Genomic DNA, 11,395 nt, shown 5'->3' with positions numbered 1-11,395 from the left:
CATTGGAAACTGAGACCTTCAAGTCAATAGCCGTACAACATAAAGGATCCCTAGCAATAGAAGGGTGCTAAGAAAGCTTTGCCTCTCTCTGCCTCTGTTTCTTCCTTTGTGCATTAGGGATAAAAATGCTGCCCACTTCATGGAGATGCTGTGAGGAATAAATGAGCTAAGACCTGCAGGACACTTGAAAAAATGTGTCACGTAAGTACTCAGTAAACATGCACACAGGGCAAACGAATCAAAGGCCGGCCATCAATCTTTCCAAGGAAGCCGTACTATCGGAATTAATACCAAAGGCATTAATTTCAATAGTAAGAGTGCCCCATCTGAGTGACATGGGAGTGATGAAAGCTGAACAGAATTTGATTCCAACCTCTTTTCTGCCCCAAAACCACACATGAAGAGAGATGAGAAGCCTTTCTAAAGAAAGAATTCCTCTATGGTAATAGCCTCAGCTCTCCCCTTCACATCCAAACCGACCCCCTGCACCGTGACTGCCTTATCCACAAGTATGGTTTTTTAAATGACCACATACCCCAGGAATCCCTTCCTTGGCTGGTCAGGTACCTCAGGCAAGCTCAGACTCTGCCACCTCCGATCACAATCAATAAGGAGACTGGGAAGTTAGAGAAGCCTCACCTCGAGGCACTTACAGACCTTCAGCGATCACTCCTGAACAGAATCAGATAAGTGCTATTTAGCTTTACGATTCTGCTTTAAGAGAACACACACCAACAAGCTCGCTCTGTAAGAGAAAATCTAACAATACCGAATGTCTTGCAATGAGGATTTAATACTTTTCACCTCCTGTTCCTTGATTTCCTAGGGATTTCTGCCTGGAATCTAGAGTGAAAGCATATCCATCAGGTGCTGCAGGGGACTGCTGTAAAGGCAAAGAGTGCTAATCCCGCTGAATCTCCACTATATATCAGACTCTGCTGAGCTTTTTTCTATCAATTAGTAGTCTCTAGATTTCGATATTGGCTTCCATTTGTACTTTCTCAAGTGAGTCTGGCTTTTGGCTATTAAACAGAACACGTGTAGTAAATCCTTAATCATATGGAGATTAAGTCTGAGGGCCTGAGGAAGGGGTTTCTGTTAGCTCCTGCTGACTCAGCAGGGGCTTTCGTGTATCCATTTTACTGGTGAAGAAACTGAGTCTCAATTAGGTTAAACAATATCTGAAGGTTACACCAATGCTAAGTTCACAAGCCAGGAGGATCAAAACTGCTGTCTGCCGGCTTCAAGTTCAGCACTGTCTTCCCTCCACTCAGCCGAGCAACTGTGGTTCACACAGGAACAAAACAAAAGGCAGAACAGAAAGTCGCCACCAGAGTTCATCTGCAGGGGTCTGTCATGGAGAAGAATTCAAGCTGGAAGCACCTGACCTATGATTAGGTGGGGTTCTGCTGATCATTTTTGATGCAGAGAGACTTTTTTTTAAATGTCTCTGGTGTCTGCTTGGTCCAGCATAGAGACAGATGGAGGTAGATGATAGGCCAGCAACAGTGGCAAGAAGACAAAGTGAGTCACTGCTTTAGGAATGAACCCCCGAGGGTTCTCTCTGCTTTCTTTCTCCAAGTGGAGTGACTATAGTTCAACAACCAACGTGGGGAACCTAGAAACAAGAAAAGCAAAACTCCTAATGAGCACGCTCCATTGGAATCTTGGAGAAGTACCAGGGGACTCCAGCCAGATCAGAGCTCACTGCCTTGGTCACAGGGGGAACCCCTAGACAAGGCAGGCTTGGATGAGGAGCCCTGGAAAGGGAGCATCCTGCTTTCCAGAGGCAGAGAATAAGGATGGACTGTAGAGTGGATATTCTGGGTGGAAGCCAGATGTTTGTACAATAATGATAATCATGTATGGTCTGTATCTGTGCGTGCCTTTCCCTCTGCTAACTGAATTTTGTTCCATAAACTTGTACTTAGAATGCTGGTAAAAGATTTGCCAGTCCCTGCCTATCTGGAGCAGGCATTCCCGGGGAATGGAAGAGGAGATAATAAACCTAATCCAGGGCTCTGACGGCGGTTCACAATGGCACACTTGTGGCGGCATAATCCTGTAGAGATGGTACTCAACACTTCCCAAACTTTGGTTTTGTAGCCTGGTGTGTGGACTTGGATGCCTGCCAGCACCTCTCCTCCTCATGAAGTTGCAGTGTGAGCTGCAAATGGAACTGGGGCCGCAGAGCTGATGAGTGATTTAATTGACTGCTCATGAAAAGTGGACTTCTCCATAGATTCATGGGTAAAGAAAGATGTTACATTTAAACCCAGAAAATTTTCTGCCTGCTAAGAAAAGCAACAGAATAGATAATTAAAGTAGTCCTTTGTAAGAACTCAGAAGGAAAAGACAGCCCAGATGAAAGGCTGGCTTCTCATCCTAGGCTCTTTTTCTATCCCTCTGTGTTATTAGAGGTTCAAGCTGTTAGGCATGAAGTCTGGCCCACTTCAAAAGCTGGAGGTCTTGCCTTAAGGGGTCATGATTATTTTAGTTCCAACCTTCTGTAGTATCAGCCACGGCATAAGAAGTGAAAATGCCTAGAGTTGAGGCTTTTTTTTTTAATGACATTAAAAACATACACGGTATAAAACTGTAAAGTACACAAGGCATGAACTCTAAAATGTGAAAAAAAGGTGTGTCAGAACTATGATAAAATGTAATGGAGAAGAAACGTAGAAAGCTTGATCTTGTGTGAACACCGGAACACCACTTTACTTTAATTCCCTTACTATTTCTTTAGAATATATTTATTTACTATTCCTTCAGGTTACTCATACTGCCTACTTAATGTCAAAGCAGCAACACTGAAAAAAAAAGTTAGATTGATAAAATTCCATCTATTTTATCCAGACCCAGGATGGGTGTTTGAGCTGGTCTATCTTTGTGTAACAGATGCAGTAAGAGAACATTTTCAGTGAGCAAAATTTGGGCACAGTACCGTAAATTTGTAAGGAAATGCTCCTATTTACGTGTATTTAGGTCTTTAGCAAACTACTAGGTTTTCAGTAATTATTTTGTAATGGGATCCGTCTTTTTGTAGAGGCATTATCATTCTACATATATAAATTTTCACATGCTGAGAGTTCTTACAGTGAGGGAGGGCTGAGTTTTATCATCTTATTACTTCTGATTGGCTTGATTTTTGTAAGAGTCTTGTACAATTTGTACTGCTAGTATAAAACATAACTATACGGGGCCTGACCCCATAAGTGAGAAGAGAATAAATTGGAGGCCACTGGGGTACAATTCTGTATATTAACTCACCCCTGATTTAAATTCCAGCCTAATGGAATGAAGCCATAGCTGGGTGGAGAGAAGAACGGTTTCCTGCCAGTCCATGGGGCTGCCCAGGCAGGACGAAAAGTGAGAGGACCGGAGCATCCTGGGCAATGGCTAAGGCTGAGCATGCGCGGAAGAGTTAAAGCGCTCCATGCTCACCTAGAGCCACACAGGCGCGCATGTGCACCAGCTGGATTGTAGTGCTTAGCGTAGAAATTTAGCCGTGGGCAACAAAGATCCAAAAAGAATCAGAGTTTTCAGAAAGAAATTTATTTCTCACACATAAACAGGCAATTCAAGATTGTCGGGTAGCTCCTCCTTTATCTGGGACTCGGGGTGCTTCTGTCCTTTCTCTCCTCCGTCACTGGGACATGATTACCAACCTCATGGTCCAGGATGTGATACCAGCAATCATTCCACTTTCGAAGCAGTATTACAGAAGAAAGTCTATGGGAGGAACTTTAGACTGTTTTATCTGTTCTCCTTTCCCAAGCTAATGGAAGCTGCGTGGCCACCTGAACTAAAAATCACATTCCCGGTGCTGCAACTAGAACTTCTGGCTAAGGGGACATGAGGGAGTTTCCTGGCTGTTTCATTAAAGGCAGTGTCTGCGGGCAGCTTCTTCCCGCCTTTACTCCATCTTGGACGATGAGGTCAAAGGCCCCTGGGACCTCCACTGGAGCCAGGACACCAGCCCTGCTCTGCCTATAGTAAGGCTTTTGCATGTGCATGAAATGAACTTCTATCTTTTTAGCCACTGTCCTTGAGTCTCTGTTGAATGCTGTGGAATTAAATCTTATCTAATACACCCATCTTAAGGGAAATTTCGTGAGAGGAGAAAAATCAGTATTTTAATTTACTGGAGTCCAGTTAGCCCCATAATCTGACCACTGGCCCTTTTCATTTGTGCATTTAATAAACATTTATCTAGTATCTGCAATGTGCCAGGCCCTTAAGGTGATGCAAAATGAGCGTGCCCTGATCCCTTCCCTCAAGGAACTTCATATCAAATGGAAGACAGAAAGAAGGGATTACTGGATTGAATACTAGTGATATGCCAGGTACTGCTGTCACGGTTTTCACATGGTTGTTTTTTGTTGTTGTTGTTGTTGTTGTTTTTGTTTTTGTTTTGCATTTGTATCTCATAAAATGTCTGTGTGATCCTCATCTGATAGGAGTGGACATTAAAGCTCCAAGGGGTTATAGAATGTGCCTAGGGTTACACCTAGAATAAGGTATGGAGTCAAAATTTAAGTTTAGATTTCTGACCCATGAGTCAACGATTGCACCAGGCTGCCTTATGGACATGGACATGAAAAACAAGAATACATGGCTCTATGTGACAAGTGCCCAACACATCTAATGCCTTAGCTGATGTGTAACTAACTCGTCTGAGAGGCCACTCAGATATTATAGTTTTTCCAATGTCACTATGTGTCTTACATCAAACAAGTAAAGTCTTATTCCTACCTACTCTGTAGAGAAGAATAAATTCATGTAGGATCACCATGCCTACATCATGGGCACTAAAGTGTCACCTTACAGGTTCCATTACTATGACTACAATCTGCAATTTTATATATATTTTTAATGTCTGCCAAACAAAATCACTGGAAAACTCCCCTTCTGACCATCATTTTTGCCTGCTCATTCACTTTGGTTTCTAGCCTTTTTCCCTTGGCTCATTTCTCTCCCCACATTCCACATACATAAAATAGCATTTGTGGCCTGTATTTCCCCTCATCCAATGGGTTTATTATGTGTAATCTACCCTGAAGCATAAAAAGTAGCCTGTCCAGACTTTTGCAGAATTATTATGCCATCTCCTAAATCATATCACACCTTCTGCTAAAAATACCCAGCAATTATTTTACCATTTGCAAAGGTAAACCAATGTTCAAAATTCCAGACACCCAAAAAACTCTAAATGGGATCCATTGTTTTAATCAATCAAAGCATTTTTGTTTGCCAAATTATAATACCAATTCTGAATGATCACTCAACACATGGGCAGAGCCTGGCTTGCCTAGCCACTTTAAAGGTAGTGAGAAAAGATGACAAGCCTCTTTTTTATACCAATGAGAAAGATTTGTCCTAGAGCATTATCTGAATTCAACCCAGCACAGTTCCTTGTCAGAAGTATCTTTGAAGAAAGGAACTATGATCTTTTATATTTTTTGATAGTTACTAACACTAGCTCATGAAACTAACAACCTCCAAATCTCACTGACTTCATAAAATAAAGGCTTATTTCTTGCTCACATCATCATCCAATTGGGTTTTCAGTGGCCAGCCTTCAATGTGGTGATTTGGGAACACAGGCTCCTAACATCCGGTGGCTTCTCAGAGTGGTTCCTCTGCATTTGGCTAAAAGAAAGAGACATAAGAAAGTATGAAATATTAGGCTGCTGTTCCATCATCAGGCTTGGACATCACATCCCATGTAACATGTTCCATTATCCAGAACTTAGACCCCGTAGCCCTAACCTAAGTAGCCTTGCAGTGTGCACTGGACAAGGAAATGGGGCTGGAAAGCAAAGAGCCAGTTTCTGCCCCACCTTTGGGGACAACACTGTAGAGGTTGGCTTCACCACCCAGGTCAGATGATTGGCATGTGTTTTCTCACTCCCTCAATTGCCTGGATGCAGGTGTGTCCAACAAAAATGATTGGCCATCATCCTCTGTGAAACACAAAGAGAAGGGGAGGTCCTGGGCATAAATCTGCAACCCCCAGTGGCCATGTTTTCCAGTAAGCTTGGATTTCTGTTGATATCCCTGCCCGCCATCCCCTACCCATCTTAAGTGCCACCCCAACATGACTTTCTACAATTCTGGGAAGTAGAACAGTGAGCCTTTCACCCCTGCAGATAACAGACAAAATCCATGAACTTTTATCCAGATAAGAGGCTTTTACTCCATGAGGATGACTTTTGTTTGGACTAAGAGTATCCTATCTTCAGAAGGAACTCTCTCCTAAGACTATCAAGATCATCGAGAAAGAAGCCTTTTTAAGTCAGCACTTTGTATCTTTATTAGAGTTGTAATGGAAAATAAGCACAAATGTGTGTTCTTCTAGAGCTTGGCATAGAAGCAGCAGCAATGAACTCAAAATTTGGCTGTGGTTATACGGTAGTCATTATGGCCTTTAAGTCTGTCCACAAATATTCAGGTTCTCTTTCTACAGACACAGTGAGATTGTACTTTTCTGACATCTTTGAAGTTAGCAGGGCCTTAGGGCTTGACTTGGCCAATGCAATGTGAGTGGAAGTGACATGTCATTTCCAGATAGAAACCTGAAGAGCCAGTGCTTGACTCATCATGTTCCTGTCCTCCTTCCCTGCCCCAACCCTGTCATGATCTGGTGATAACTTTACCCACAGGCAGTAATCACAGAATTTCTTTTCCCTATAAACTCTTGAGTCTGGGTCCCTGAGTTACCACAAAAATCAGAGGCCCCTGATGACTCTCATTGGACATGTAGCATGAAAGAAAAAAAAAATTTTACTTCATTAAGTCACTGAGAATTTGGAGAATAAACTAATGAGACATACAGGTCCCATGTGATTTATTTTTAGTCATACTCTTCTTTTCCATGTACTCATATTTTGTTATAAAAATTTCACACTTGCAAATTATATATAACATACCTGCCTAATTTTTAAAATGCACACATGAACCTACCACCCACTTTTAGAAATAGAACATGATCAGTTCCTTCAAGCTCCACTGGTGACTAACCTCCATTGATTGCCCCCTCCCAAAAGATGACCCAACTCACCTCCATTGATTGCCTCCTCCCAAAAGATGACCACTATTTCACTTTGTGTTAATAATTCACTTGCATTTCTTAATCATTTTATCTCACATATAGAATCTTTTTGTTTTATACATTGTTTAACTTTATGCAAATGGAATCTTCCTGTATGTATTCTTCTCAAACTTGCTTTTCAATCTAATATTAAGATTCATCCATGCTGATGCATGTAGCAGAATACTATATTGTATGAGCGTAACAAAATGAATTTACTTTTTCTCTTATTAGATGGTCATTTGGATTTACTGTTTGGGATTTTTGCTATTAAAAGCTACACTACTAAGAATATTCTTGCATATATTCTAGCGCATATATGCAATAATCTCCTTAGGGTGTACACCCAGGAGGGAAAATGCTGAATTGTGTAGTATTCAGATGCTCTACTTTATGAGATAAGATAAAATTGTTTTCCAAAGTGGCTGTGCCAATTCACACTTCCACCAGCTTGTATAAGTGTCTTTGCAACACGTCCTCACCAACACTTGGTATTGTTGGCCTTTTTCTCTTTTTGCCTCTGTGGTGGCTGCAAAATGGTATCTCACTGTGGTTTTAGTTTGTATTTTCTTTAAGGCATAATTTCATCATATATGAATTCAAGAAACCAAAATGAGAAACATTTTGCCACCTGTATCCTTAAAAACCAGAAAAACTTCACAAATTAGGCCCCTTCTTAAAGGAGAGGTTGAATAATTGGAAAAAGCACAATTATTCATTTTCTGGACATTAGAAAATACCAAAGGGCTTATGCTACTGTTTGTGTCGTAGGTTAAACAGCTGTTTCTTAAATGGCTCCTCCTAGTGGGTATTATCAAAAGCAGTGAGAAAAGCAAATACATTTCAGGGAAATCATAAACATTCCTTTTATCTTACCAGATAAAGAGATTTAGTATAAATCCTAATGCACCCACTTGGCTGTAGACAATTTATAGCAGAGGAAGAGTTTGAAACACTTTCATGTAAATAATCCTAGATTTTTTTTCCCTGAAGGTTGCTAAAAGGCTGTTTGACACTCTTTGTAAGTGGGGAACATCTCAGAGTAAGAACCAGTTCTGGTTAATATCAGAACTCATTTCCCACTAGCAAAGCAGCTCCATTAAGCACTGTTTTCATCTCTGCAGTCTTTACTTTTATGTAATGTTTACATCATTGACACCTTCTCTTAGTGAATCCCTAATATAAACAAGGGGTATATTTTAACAAGATTTAAATACATTAAGCCCTAATGTATTTTAACAAGATTTAAAAGGATGTGGCCTTGGGATGAGAATAGCCAAATGGAGTACAGACTAAAGCAAAAGTTGTATAATACTTCCATCTCTTATGACAAAGACAGCTCCATAATTTAAGTCTGGGAAAAAAATAGTCTCCTGTGTTTATTCGTCAATTATAATTTGATGGCCTCCAAATGTCATCTGACCAGCCAAATTTCGCAACACAACCTTTTAACAGAAAATTATAAACTCAGCTCTATTTGGAAGAGAGACATGAAAATAAATTTGCTTTGCTCCATAATATCTACATACTCATGGGAACTGTGAGTTTCATGAACCACAGCAGTAATACACGAAGAGCAAATCTTTGTAATTCATCATCCTAATGCAATGAGAGACAAACCATCCACCTGATCTATTTAAGCTGAGAAGGGTCATTTGAAAGTGTGTTTAGTAACTGTCTGACCAATCTAGATAGAAGAAGTGGCTTCTGATTAACTTGCATGTCCATGTCTTTATTCTCTATAAGGCTCTTGGTGTTTCCCTGGCAAAGATCTGTAAGTTCTAGGCAGCAACAGTGGCTATTCTGGATCTGAAAGGCCAGTGAACTGGAGAGGTATGGTCTGGATGAATGCTACTCAAATGTGGTCCATGGACTGGTACCAGCCCAGGGACTCATGTTACCAGTGTCCAGTAAGAAAGGTACACAAGTTAGAGTAAGTTTTTTTTAAAAAATGTTGTAGCAATTGGACATTCCTTCAGCAGGCCAGTGAGTGATCACTGGATTTGTCTTGCTGCACAAGAAGTTTTCTAAAATAATGGGTCAGTAACAAACTTAAAACAAAAACAAGAAATTTAGCTCCTTCTCCACAGATAGTTTAGAAAGCACTGGTCTGACTCATCTAGAGATCTTGTCAAAATGCAGACTCTTTACTTGACAAATAATTGTATATATTTATGGGGTTTTATGGGGTACAATGTGATGTTTTGATAAATATTTACATTGTGGAATGATTAGATCAAGCTAATTAGCATATCTATCACTACACATACTTATTTTTTGTGATTAGAACTTTTAAAATCTACTCTTCTAGCAATTTTGAAATATGCATTATTATAACTAAAATCATCATGCTGTGATGATTCTGAAATCATGACTCTAAGTTTAGATCTCTAAAACTTACTCCTCCTGTCTAACTGAATCACTTCTTTCCCTCCCTACCACTCCCTCCCTAGCCCACAAGTTCTGGTAACTATCATTCTACTGTCTACTTCTACCAGCTCGACTTTTTTCAGATGCTACAGATAAGTAAGATCATGCAGTATTTGTCTTTCTGTGCCTGGCTCATTTCACTTAACGTAATGTCCTCTAGGCTAATCTGTGTTGTTGCAAATGACAAAGAAGAATTTCTTTCTTTTTTAGAGCTTAATAGAATTCCATTGTGTATATAAACCATATACACTTTTCTTTACCCATTTATCTGTTGATGTACACTTAGCTTGATTTTATATCTTGGCTATTGTGAAAAATGCTGCAATGAACATAAGAACTCATATATCTCTTCAAACAGCAGATTTTTTTTTTTCAAATCACCAATCCCAATAATTCTGATTCACTAGATTTGGAGGGAAGCTTGTGAATTTGAATTTCTTTTTTTGTTTGTTTGTTCAAGACACAGTTTCACTCTTGTTTCCAGGCTATAGTGCAATGGCACAATCTCGGCTCACTGCAACCTCTGCCTCCTGGGTTCCAGCAAGTCTCTTGCCTCAGCCTTCCAAGTAGCTGGGATTACAGGCGTGCGACACCATGCCTGGCCAATTTTGTATTTTTAGTAGAGATGGGGTTTCACCATGTTGGTCAGGCTGGTCTTGAACTCCTGACCTCAGATGATCCACCCGCCTCGGCCTCCCAAAGTGCTGGGATTTCAGGCGTGAGCCACTGCACCGGGTTGTGAATTTGCATTTCTAACAGGATCCCAGGTGATGCTTCTGGTGGGGACCACGCTCTGAGCAGCACTGGTCTAGAGTAAACCAAATGCAAGGTGCTCCACACCATTTGTCACTGATGATTAACAAACCTGGATATTTTAATTTTGTGGTTTCAGAACATAACACCTTTTAGATATTTATATTTGCCACCTTCTGTGCTTTTAGGAGAATGCAGGAATTAGCATTTGTTATCCTCAGTGTTCTGCTCTTCAAGATTCTTCCATGTTACCACCTTCTACCCTCAGAGAATTGACGCTATGGTGGCATATTTCCTGTATTTACAAAGCTCCCTGTTTTATTTTTATTATTTGAAAGATTTGCCAATGTGTTAGCAGCATAGAGCATGCTGGGTCTAATGACCATAGCAGGCATTGCCTTCATGCAATAGACATAGATTATAACTGGTGTCAGCACTGACCTGAACTTTTAAGACATACTCATAAAAGAAGGGTAGGGGTTGATCTCTCACACAGAAAACCAATCGTGCCTGCCTATCCAAAATGCTTCAGTAACTTAAGACATCTTCTCTGAGTTTCTTTCCTATGGTTTCTAGAACACTGGCCAATCGAGGTTCCCTTCAAAATGAACAAAGCTTAGCACTTAGAAAATTAACTGCCTCGGCCGGGCGCGGTGGCCCATGCCTGTAATCCCAGCACTTCGGGAGACCAAGGTGGGCAAATCATGAGGTCAAGAAATCGAGACCATCCTGGCCAACATGGTGAAACCCTGCCTCTACTAAAAATACAAAAATTAGCTGGGCGTGGTGGCACATCTGTAGTCCCAGCTACTCAGGAGGCTGAGGCAGGAGAATCACTTGAACCCAGGAGGTAGAGGTTGTGGTGAGCCAAGATCACACCACTGCACTCCAGCCTGGCGATAGAGCAAGTCTCCATCTCAAAAAAAAAAAAAAAAATTAAATAAACTCCCTCGGCTGGGCGAGGTGGCTCACGCCTGTAATCCCAGCACTTTGAGAGCTCGAGGTGGGCAGATCACCTGAGGTCGGGAGTTCGAGACCAGCCTGACCAACATGGAGAAACCCTATCTCTACTAAAACTACAAAATTAGCTGGGCATGGTGGCGCATGCCTGTAATCTCA

At 41.0% G+C, this 11,395-nt stretch overlaps 1 annotated feature.

The window, feature by feature from the left end:
* Positions 297-912: an enhancer, noted in NCBI's record as "NANOG hESC enhancer chr9:82380198-82380813 (GRCh37/hg19 assembly coordinates)". NCBI's record gives its function as "activates a minimal SCP1, AML or CMV promoter by ChIP-STARR-seq in primed H9 embryonic stem cells {active_cell/tissue: H9 hESC(primed)}" and the evidence as "EXISTENCE:reporter gene assay evidence [ECO:0000049][PMID:30033119]".

The sequence above is a fragment of the Homo sapiens genome, chromosome 9 (genome assembly GCF_000001405.40).
Source record: "Homo sapiens chromosome 9, GRCh38.p14 Primary Assembly".
Classification (NCBI taxonomy): Eukaryota; Metazoa; Chordata; class Mammalia; order Primates; family Hominidae; genus Homo; species Homo sapiens.
The sequence above is the reverse complement of the archived record's forward strand: the minus strand, read 5'-3'. Positions and strand labels throughout refer to the sequence as shown.